At 35.4% G+C, this 12,267-nt stretch overlaps 1 protein-coding gene across 21 annotated transcripts in view; it reads right to left on the minus strand.

Annotated features, from left to right (window-relative positions):
- Positions 1 to 12,267, minus strand: part of DGKB (diacylglycerol kinase beta) — an 829,810-nt gene that overhangs the window by 26,681 nt on the left and 790,862 nt on the right. For 20 of the 21 annotated variants that reach the window (NM_001350722.2, NM_001350711.2, NM_001350717.2 and 17 more), the window contains 2 exons: positions 6,302 to 6,422; positions 5,110 to 5,170 (listed from right to left, as the gene is read on the minus strand). In NM_001350722.2, coding sequence (NP_001337651.1) covers positions 5,110 to 5,170; positions 6,302 to 6,422 — 182 coding nt within the window. Of the gene's footprint in view, positions 1 to 4,243; positions 5,171 to 6,301; positions 6,423 to 12,267 lie in introns of those variants that run through there. The other variant, NM_145695.2, reaches the window with a different exon arrangement.

Genomic DNA, 12,267 nt, shown 5'->3' on the forward strand with positions numbered 1-12,267 from the left:
TACATTATGTTCAGTGAAAGAAGATTTAGTAGAAAAACACTTTTTAAAAATGTTATACTACCCTAAGAAGTATTTCAGAAATTTGCAAATTCAAAGTGCATTTGGTATTGGCAATCTAATTATGTGTGAGGTACAGTGCTACGCTCTGGGGCTACCAAGATGATCCAAATCATGGTCCATGACCTCAGTAAGCCTGTGTCTAAAAGGAGCTGGACATATAACTGAGAATTCCAACGTAATGTTGTTATTGTTTTGATAAAACTGAAACACTGAGGCTGAGCTTTTAGGCTATTTGGAGAAAAAGGAGTGGAGAAGTGGAAGGAGGGGTTGTGCTCAGGGAAGCATTTATGGAGGAGGGACAGCAAGGAATGAGCCTCAAAAGATGTGTTGTGTTACCAAACTAAAGAAGAGGAAAAATTTGTTTGGACAAGAGGGAAGCGCATGAAAAGACTTTTTAAAAAGTAAGAGATTATGTTGGTAAAACAGGAAGCCTCACTCAAACCACATTTTATCAGACAGAGAGTAACTAAACAATATTTTAAGTAGAAGAGTGCCATGGTGAGATTCATATTTTATAGTGACTATTCTGATAGAAATGTGAAGCATGGACTTAATTGGAACAAAAATTGAGATGGGGAAATATTGATGTGGTTTTGCCAGGAATGAGAGAGAAATGAATTGGGCCAAATCTAAAACAGTGGTTAATAGGGAGAGAAAGAAAGGAAAAGATTCCAGAAATAGGTCATATCATTATATGGACACGTAAATTGGATTTGAGGGTATATAGAGAAGTACAGGATGACTTTCAGATTTCTAGCTTAGGAAACACCAGGTGTTTCAATGGTTTCACTATCTCAGTATGATAGAGGGAAGAATCGCAGATCTAGGATGTGAGAAGACCTCATCTGGGGAAGGAGAGATATGGGGAGGCAAATGATGAGTCCATTTTAGTTGTAATAAATTTGAGGTTCCTGAGGCTTTGAATAGTCACTTCTCACTTAAACTTTACTGGTCATGTGTCACTTAAAATAAATGGGTAGTAAAGGGGTGCTGGTTGTACAGATACAAAATAAAATCTTACCTAGTCTATGTCCTCTCCTATCCTACCACTCTATTCCCTCTACCCTCCACCCCAAGCTGCTCTTTCTTCTTCCCATTATAAGAACATATTGACTACAGAATCATATGTTCTACATGCTCAGGAGGAAGGATGGGGGAGGAAGAAGAAAGAATAAAATAGACTCTGGAGTCTGGCCTAAAGACAGCTCTTCTAAGACAATTTTCAATATATACTCTCTTCTAGAATTAATATTGTCTTTAGTTTGATATGCTTATTATCACAAGCAATAGTTATATGGCTAAAATAATTGTGTTAACTCAGTGACTATTACAAAACAATGAATACAGGAGCACTTAAAAATTTATGTTGATGGCTTTACAGTGACAGAATCTAGATGGTCCTAAAAATAATTACCAAGTGCATATTTGAAGAATGAGTACTAAGCTCTTTGGTTTTTTCTTTTCCTGATCTTTGAACTCAATATTGGTGAAATTTATAAATGTATCTTACATTAATTTTTCTATTAGTGACTTTTTTATTGTGGTAAAATATACATAACATAAAATTCACCACGTTAACTTACATTTTTAAGTGTGCAGTTCAATGGCACCAAGTGCAATCACATTGTTGTGTCACCATCACTACCCACCAACTCCAAAACTTGTATTATCTTGATATTTAAGCATTAATTGATATTTCTGTTTTATATATTCTACTAATAGAAAAAACAGAACTTCTGCTCTCCTCTAAAATTATGTCTAGAGCAATTCTTTCATAAATTGAATATCAGCTTACAGATATTTAAATTCAGCAGAGAATTTAAACATTGTAGCATTCTTATTTTCTGTAAGAAAAATATTGGGTTATTCAACTGAAGCAAAAAACGCTCCATAGTTAACCATACCAATGCTATGAATACTAAATATTCTCTTCAATTACAGTGAAATTTAAAGTTCAGAACCCCATGCGGCTGTGGGAAAAGTAGAGTATGCCAGAATGTAAAATCACAATAATGAGCCATAGTCTACTATGATTCTTGGCCTACTGTAAGCTGCAATAAATGTTTTAAATGAATAAGTGAGTTTACAAGGGAAGAAAATTAATATAAGTTACATAAAATTTTTATTAATTTAACAATTGTAAGTCATGATAGTTAACAGGTGAAATGAATGTCTTATTACTTATTGAAATAAAAATTAACAAAAGTAGTTAAAAGTGCTTGTGTTAAACAAGCTTAAATTATTCTAACACATTAATTAAATTTCAATAGGCAGACATTTTCAAGCTGGAGAAGCTTGAAAGGTAGTCAGGGAGAAAGGTAGTCCGTCATTTACCAAAGGTCACACACTCTGGAGGGAGATTTCCAGCATGCACCGGGGCCATTTTGTGTTGAGCTTCACAGTAAGGAGCAGAGATGAAGCGTGCAGATGCTGGAGTCAGACTACCTGGGTTTCCATTTCTACTTTGCTATTTATTAGCTGTGTAGAATTAGATGAACTATTTAACCTTTGTCTTCCTCAGTTATTTCCTTCATAAAATAAGGCTAACCATATAATTTTTGTGAGAATTAAATGCATCAACATGGGTCAAGTGTCTCCAACTGGATGTACAGGACATTCTAAGAACTTTTTTTAGGATATTACCATAGCTGTGACCGCTTCTCGACTCAAAACATGGAATAAGGGCTAAATGCCTCTTCTCCTGAGAAGAGTCCAAAATAATACAAAGAGTATTCATGGACGCTAGTTGGTTTTATTTCTTTGATTTACTTATTCTTTTGTTACCAAGGCTGATGAAAAGTGACTTTTCATTAAAAACACCGCTACCAACCACTACTGTCTTGCATCACAACCACCACCATTGCAACTACCATCACCACCATTACCACGAGTTTTACCACTATTTCCACCATCACGGTAGCAGCTATTACCCCCACCACCATCATAACCATCACCACCTCTGCAATAGCATCACCACCATCACTATCACCATTATCATCACTATCACCATCACCATCATTAAAAACAACATTTTTAACATCCATGTGAATAGAATAATGTGAATTTAGAAGTGTCATTTGGAGAGTGAAGGATCACAGAAAAGATGTATGTGTACACATACTGGTGAAGGGAGGAAAAAGATTTAGTGTTCAGGCAGCTAAAGGAATACACCAGAAACAAAGATGAAGTAATGTTTATGTGTTATACACAACGTTTGAGCCAGTAGTTTCAGAGTAAAACCATTACAAAGGTAAAATGAAAAATTCCTTCTTACATGCTAATCTGTGCTGTTTGAAATCTGTAACTAAGGTTGTTTACAGTAGTGGTTGAGAGAATGGGCTTTAATTAAAGAGTCTTGGATTTTAGTTCCATATCTACTTCATACCTGCCCTTGAGTATGCTATTTAACCTCCCAGAACTTGTATTTTCTCCATCTAAAAAATGGTGGTTCCATTATTTAGAATTTGTGTGAATATTTAATACATACTCACATATAACATAAGCATTCAGCACAATGCTTGTGCAAGATTAAGACCTTCCCCTGTTGCCCTCTAATCAGTTTCTCTCCAAATTTTAACTACTCAGTAAATCACACTATCATTCTTAGGTAAGAGTTGACTTCAATTCAGCCCTTTCTCTCCTCCACCTCCTGCACCCCCAGGAACTCATTAATAAATTTTTCCTGTTCTACCTCTGGAATATAGCTTACATTCATCCACTTTGATTTTACTTCCCTGCTGCCATCTTTGCCCAAGCCCAGAGTACTAGGATAGACCAATCTCTCAGTTGCTGCTCAATACAATCAATCCTCCACAGAGCAGCCAATGTGAACTTAAAAAAATGTAAATCAGATGATGCTTAAAGTTTTCAGTAGTTTCCTATTGTACTTAGAATCAAAATTTAGCTCTTTACCGTCAATTTTTTTTCTACATGATTTGTTCTCTGTCTACCTTTTCTACTTAAACTCTTACCATTCTCCCCTAATTCTAGAAGCTTTGGTCACACCACCCTCCTTAGTGTCTTTTTTTTGGGGGGGATGGAATTTCACTCTGTCACCCGGGCTGAAGTGCGGTGGCACAATCTCAGCTCACTGCAACCTCCGCCTCCCGGGTTCAAGTGATTCTCCTGCCTCAGCCTCCTGAGTAGCTGGGACTACAGGTGCGTGTCACCAAGCCCAGCTAAGTTTTTTTTTTATTTTTTTTAATTTTATACTAAGCTTTTGGCTATGTCCTTTCAAAGAGGTCTCCCTTATCTCAAGTAGTATTTATTCTCCACACCTAATCCAGCTTCTTATCATCATTTCACCTTATTTTTTAATAACTCTCACAGTCTGAAGTTATATTTATCATGTAGTTGTTTATTTATTCGGTCCTCTATTATAGGAATGTAAGTAACTTGAAGGAAATTACACTGTTGGTCTTGTTCATGTGTCTACTCCCAGTGCCAAAAGCAGTTCCTAGCATGTTTTTGAAATGCAATAAAATATTCACTATGCAAATGAAAACTGATTTTTTTTTGAGAGGGGCAGTGTCTGCCTTAAATAATACCTCATTCTGGAAAACACAATTAATTATGGTAGAAACTGGAGAGAAATTTTTTTCTTATGGAGAAGAAAGCCCTCAAATCCCCAAATGGAGGCATAGAAAAGCTGAGAAATAAGTTCACATATAAGCTTAGGTCTGCATTTCTTGCAAATAATATTCTAATAATGTGCTCTGAAATAAACAAAAAAGTTTCAGATAAACTTTTATTAATATTTTGTTTAGCTCCATAGTTTATAATTGATCTATGGTTTATAATTGATCTATTTAAAAGATCTATTTATACTTAGGCTAACACAAACATTCAAGAGCTAAATCATTGCCAAGGGTATATAATGTCTACAACCTAAATGTAGTGGCTCTGACACACACATAACAACAACAACAAAAAGACTATTTGCTGATAGGTTGAAAAGAAATAAAGAAAAAAATCAGTTATTGTGGTTATTTAGTCAAAGAGGAAAGCAAAACTGAGATTGACATAGCATATCAACTACTCTGTACTCACTGTGCATGGGGTCTGCATCCATGGCTCCCCATCAATTTGCATTGGCAGAGACTTGCTCGTCCTGGGGGAAAATATTTCATTGTAAGTATTGCAAGGAAATACTTTATATTACAGACTATATGTGAGATATAAGATGATGAGACCAGGGAAGGCAATATGGTAATAGTTGGGCTCTAAATTTATCTCCAATGAAAGGAGCTTCAACTCTCCACTATTAATAAATACCCTGAAAAGTACCTTAGTCACAGGAATATTATGAGCTTCCTGGTAAGTGTAGTGACATTTAAAAAAATTCTGGATGCCAAAAGAAAAATTTCAGGGTTTATGTTTAATGACACGATCAGAATTTCTACAGCCAAAAGAGATTCCTTGTTTTTATAACCCTACATTGCAAACTGGGAGAAAGGTGTTTCTCCCAGTTCTTCTAGCACCAACACTTCCAGATAAATAACATCAATTATTCCTGTGCTACAATCCGTGGCTTCACCTGGGCAGATCACGAGGTCAGTAGTTTGAAACCAGCCTGACCAACATGGTGAAACCCCATCTGTACTAAAAATACAAAAATTAGCCAGGATGTGTTGGCGGGTGCCTGTAATCCCAGATACTCGGGAGGATGAGGCAGAAGAATCCTTGAAACTGGAAGGTGGGGTTGCAGTGAGCCAAGATCGTGCCACTGCACTCCAGCCTGGGCAACAAGAGTGAAACTCCGTCTCAAAAAAAAAAAAAAAAAAAAAAAAAATTGGGGGGAAATTTTGGGCAAAAAAAATGCTTGAAAAAGTTAAAATTTAAAACATATATAAAATCTTACTGTGGCACTTTAGTCCATGAAATGATTTAAGTCAATGGTGTCTCATCATTGTTTTCATAGATAATTTGCCCAGTAAATACTTTGGTGCTTCAGTAGACTAATATGAGTATAAATCATAAAATTTGTATGTTTGAATTCGTGCATCAATATGTCCATGGTAGTCAACAAGAGAGAATCAGATTCCAACAAACCATATCAGTAATAGCTAACCAATATTTTAGACAATCTGCCAATGTCCATTATTTTGAAATATATTAGTATTAATAACTGATTATTTGGAGCCCAAAGAAGACAATGTTACTATCAGAGTTCTGCATACTTTTAATTAGTTTGAGGCTATGCCATATCAAACGCCTTTGTCAGTTACAGAAAGGGAACTACCTGATGACCACGCAGGAGCACTGAGCCAGCCGCCGGCCAGCACTTTTCAGGCCTGTGTATATTTGCCCCATCTCCATGGCTCCTTCCAAGCCGACCACCTCCAGCAGCTGGTCACTGAGATCTGAAAGAAAGTAGATGCCTTTTAAGTTGCAATGTGTATACATATGTCCACAATTTAATGCCATTTGATATTATGGAGATTAAAAAAAATAACAGCCACTTCACAAAGAAAGCTTGTCTTAGAAACTTAAAGTAATAAAAAGATGGCCTACTTTTATAACTCTCAGTTTAACTAAACCTTGAGGTTCTGTGGAAAATGATTTGCTGTCAGCTTATTCTAAAACAAAATGGGAAGCACAGATTCTGAGCCAAATAATACCAAAAAAAAAAAAAAAAAACCCAGTAGTTTTTAACATCAACAAACTTAATGTTATTCCACATGTATATAAGGACCATTTATACATCCCACATCAGACATTTGGCAGCAAATACACATTTCAACACTATAAATAAAATATGAGGATATGCTGTCAAACATGATTTTGTTAAATTACTTGAACAAGAGACCTTGGAGATCATGGAGTTGGAGCTTCTCATTTTATACATTAGAAGATGGGAGTCCCTAAATCTTTGAGTAACTTGTCTGTAGTAATAGGTAACTGTACAGAAGTTCAAGAAACAATAGTAATTTTGTGAAATGTTTTTCCGATGTTAAGGAATATTCTACAAAATACTGTTTGGTAGTATACTAGATAATTAGTCCCATGCAATCATTATTATTAAATTTTTTTTTAGCAGAAGACATTAAAAAGGGGCTAATAGTTAAGAGTTGTCGCTTGTTGAGTATTTACTAGGACTAATTACTTTATATTATCTCATTTGCTCCTGCTCCAGACCAATTTAAGATAAATGTGATTCTCCTCATTTACAGATAGAGAAGCTAAACATTGGAGATGTTAATAATTATTCATATTCACATACCTAGAAAGTGACAGAGCCAAAAAGTGAACCTAATTGCTTTGATGCACTATGCTACATTTGATAAATCAATCATATGAAAAGGACAGAATTTACAACGTTTTAGAAATCATCTTAACATAAAGGTGGAGGTTGGACTGCGTGAGCTTCAAGGTTCCTTTCCAATCTGAATATTTGCATTCAGCCAGAAAGCAGAAGTTGAACTCACATCAATAGAATCCCACACAGTCCTGTCCCAAGACTCAGTGACAGCCCATCTGCTCACCTATTTAACTCAGAGTGCTGAGACCCTTGATTTGGAGGCCAAAGTCTAGGTGCATATATATGGTTCTTTTCCATTGTAATATTCTTATGTGTTTTTGTGTATTTTCAAATATAAATACACAATTGTACATTGTTTAGTAGCAGAAAAACTAGAGGAGTGGAATACGGTGGGAGGCATGATTATTATACAAGAAAGCCATGTAATAGTTGGTCATATTTGAGGTCGGACTCATAGAAAAACAAGCAAATGTGTTTTGTAGGGAATCCACTTTGTACAGAAAGTGCTCACTCCTCACTAATGACTCCATTTTAGCATAGAGTTTAGAGATGCTAATGATTTATTTTCAGTGTAGTTCAACTGTGTGGCAGCAAATAGTGCTTTGCAATCTCCAAGTTCGTTAAGCCCAGGATCGTAGGTAAATTTAATAAAAGCACTTTAAAAAGAATATGCAACCAAGCCACCAAACTTTTAAGTGAATAATAAAAATCTATTATTTTTAACTTTAAGCTGTAGCTGTAGCACCGGATTACTCCAAGTAAAAACAATATTTTAGCTACAAAATCAAATGTTAACTTAGAGCTTCCACCTTGCTGTTCTAAACCCCATTTAGACTTATTTCTCATGAAACTTATTCTGTGTTTCTAGTTTAAATTCATGTTGCCAAGAACAGATGGACAAGGAATGGAAACATATTCTTTCAGCTGTAGCCGGCACTAAAATGTGCTTGGCTCTATAGCCTGGGTGTTAATATACGCATTTCTTAGATATATGTCAACCAGAAAACGACATTGTGGCAAGCACTGAAGCCCCAGATGTGTGCCTGCTGATATTTATAAAACAACAACTACCACCACGATGATCACCACCACCACAGGACTGGAGTTCGCATTTAGTATTGTAGATTTTGCACGGCCTGATTCCTAAATAGGTAGAATTCTGTGTTAATTTCTGCAATGATCTGAAACTGGTTGATGGGAACCATTCTATAAGAAATGAAACACTTTCTCAAGACAGAGTTAATCTGTGAGCCCTAACTTTTTCATGAATCACAGGGATCTGTCTACACCCACACCATATTGCTACTGTCTACCACCCTCCTTCTGATTTTTTTCTTTCTTTTAATTTGTCTTTGTTTTTCTGCATGCAAAAATGCCTTGAAAATCAATTCTGCTGTTAATAATCAGTAATGAAGATATTTCTCATAGACTTAGAACACCCAGGCTTTTAAACTTTCATGTTCTTGCTAACACAAATAATTTTATAGGAATAGTGCCATCTTTACTAACTCTAGCAAAGGCAAATAAATACCATACTCCTTTTAATTAGGCATTCAGGGAGAGAAAACAAAAACAAAATGAAACTCTAAATTTGTGTTGCACGAATTTGCCCCCATAACACTTCCACATTTTTTGATACAGCACAATCTGCAATCTGTCTGTATACAATTGATGCCCCCTACCTGTTAATCTTTGAGATCAGGGTCCTGATTGATTTCAGACAGAGAGAGTTTCTATCTATGCAATTTTGAATTCTGTTTCTATATGTGGTATCCTTTGGAACATCAGACTTCCTCACCTCACATTCTAGCTAAGAGTTATTTTAAGAACAGTTCTCCTTGGGATGGCCTAACCAGCTAGATCAACCTATTTAATTGGTTTGCTACCTGGCTGCTGGCTTCATATTTAAGAGTGTGAGCAGCAAAAGATGGCCTATGGACCAAATCTGGCCCCTAGCCCTTTTTGTATGGCTCACAACAATTAAGAATGGTTTTATATATTTAAAAATATAAAAAAATAAAGTACTATAACATCTGAAAATTATATAAAATTCAAATTTCAGTGCCCATCAATTAGTCTTCATTGGAACACAGCCACATTCACTGGTTTAGGTCTTGTCTATGTCTCTTTTTGTACTACAGAGGCACAGTAGAGACCATATGGTCGACAAAGCTGAAAATATTTACTATGTGGACCTTTAGATAAGTTTGCCCACCTATGCTTTAGAGAAACATGAACACTTTCAGGTCACTAAGGTTGTCACTTTAGTACTGCAGCTATAAATGCTAAATGGCAATTTATTTTTTAGTGCCTGAAAGACATAATGTTCCAGCATTAATTCCACAGTGTATGTAACCATGCATAGAACAGCTGTTCTCCACCAGGGAGTCTCACCACACTTGTGTACTATGAGCATTGCCACAATCCATTGGTTATTTATCACGGAACACCAAAAGTTTCCAAATAATTTTATTACAAAAGAAAGTAGAACAGTTTAACATTCATTAGTGTGCTCAATCATTGCCTCTGGTTGGCTTCCTTGAGTGTGAGAAAAAGAAGAATCATAGATAGGAAGGCAGAAGTTGCAACCAGACCTGGAGATTCAGGTGGGAAACAGCTCTACCTTCAAAAGTTAAGTGTCAAGAACTGTGAAATCCTGACACCATGATACTGAAATCCATTTGTGTCTATCTAGAGGAAGACGTTGCTTTTGTTCAGTTTAATGTTATAAAGTATACTTTTGAAGGAAAACAAAGTACGTTTCTGAAAGCATTTATATGTCTTTTTAAATACCTCCATGGGAGTAAACAGAGACAAGCTTTCATATTAGGTATTTTCACATTTAAAACAGAACATCTATAAAAGGTATTTCAGAGGGAAGAAACTTAATAAAATCATCAAAATTGGGTCATATTGGATCAAGATTCTTAACACATGGTCTGTGAATCTGAATAGGAAAAATGCAACTTTATTTTCACTAACATGTAATTGAAATTAAGCATTTCTTTCAAATATAAATGTAGTCAGGAATACCTGTGACTTTGTCACTGATAAATATCACGTTATAGTTGTTACAATATTTCCTACTTTAAGAAAAGATAATACGTTTTAATTATCCACAATACCAAAATATCTACAAGTCTCTATAAAATAAAATAACACATTAAATTTTATTTTTTTTATTTTTATCTTATGTAATTTTTCAAAATGTTATTTATATTCATTATGTCAAATTTTAATAATTATTGAACTTCTAGATTTTAATTTGTTAATAAGAAAGCATATATATCTCTAAATCAAAATTTCTAACAGCATTTTAATCTAATTTTTCATAGAAAAGCATATATATCTCTAAATCAAAATTTTAACAGTATTTTAATATAACTGACTCCCTTTTTTAGCCTACGTATTTTATCTTATAAATTTTAAAACATTATGTCTGAGAAGAGTCAGTAGATTTCACCAGACAGGCAAAAAGACTATAGCACAAAAATGGTAAGGAACCCTACTTTAGAATGGAATTTGTCATTTTAAAGTTTATAAATCTTTATAAACTTTATAAATCTGTGAAAATAATTAGTGCTGCATTCATCTGTTACACAGGTAATCAGGGATATGAATGTAAATTTGAAAGTCAGGGGCACATATAGATTAGAGGACACACGAGCAGCTCAGCTAATAAGTGGGTAATATTTATTCATAGCTTAGTCTTCATTTTTGACAGTTATGCCCTGATAATATGTCTCATTATGTAATTGTTTCAGACTGCCATATGTGAAGAAACAGAAGAGAATGCATTACAAACACAGAATGAATGTGGGTTGTAGCATTTCGCAGAATATAGTGGGTACTGAAGAAAGGGGGAGAAAGGCTGGAGCAGAGTAGTATAAACCCCTTTGTGCAGAGTGTCCAGCAACATTCTGCACCACTGTCAGAGGCCATGTGGAGGTACTCATTGACTCAGCAGGAGCATTTTGAAATCAACATAAATTGCTAATTATAATGACACTTATTGAGCCATTATTTGGCCATAGTAAGACCAGGCTAGCTATGGAGTTGTACCTTTTGAGTGTTTGTAGATTGTATGCCTTCCAGTGATGTTTCATTTATCTAGCAACATTATGAAACATGTCTGAGGACCAAGAATAAACTTTTAAAAGGCCAAGGAACATATGAAATCCATTCACTAGAGTGAATAATTCAATGATTCGTCTTCAAAATGTCCATCTACTTCTAATTGATTCTTAATTTAGATATACTTCTCACAAGCATAAATGCCTGTTTTTCCTGACCTACATAACCCAGAAGACATAAATTTTAAAAGGGGGTGGGTAGGAAGAGTTTTAGCAAAAATTTATTAATATAAACTGTGTTTCAGAGTACAAGTATGTAAAACATAAAGGCAGGCTTTTTGCACCTGAAGGAACATACAATCCAATTGTAGGTCTATTAATAAAGGAGAAACTGTATGGGGAAGGCTAATATATCTACTATATGCCTGCTATGAGCAGGCTCCCTGCTAAGGGATTTATAGGCATTTTTCCATTTAAGACTCTCAACAGTCCTTTGAGATAGGTATTATTCTCCTCATTTTATTGACAGGGAAACTATGTCACTTGTTCAAGTCTTTACATAGAATTGAAAATCTGGTTTTCTAAATAGGTATGCTTGACTCTAAATTCCATGTTACTGTGACAACAGTAAGAACTAACCAATTAAATGTTAACAGTTCTCTTGGATCATCATGGCGGACAGGAGGCAGGACTAGATTGCAGCTCCAGACAGAGCAGCTCGCATTGTAAATTTTAGCTCAATAGATTGCAAGAACAAACCAGCAATCTCGAGAGGACACACAGACGCTCTGACGGAAGTGGACTGCTCCTGCGGAGCCTGGGAGACCCCCCAAATACTGAGTGCCCAACTGAGGAAGTGGAAAAGGGAGACCC

This window comes from Homo sapiens, chromosome 7 (assembly GCF_000001405.40).
Source record: "Homo sapiens chromosome 7, GRCh38.p14 Primary Assembly".
Classification (NCBI taxonomy): domain Eukaryota; kingdom Metazoa; phylum Chordata; class Mammalia; order Primates; family Hominidae; genus Homo; species Homo sapiens.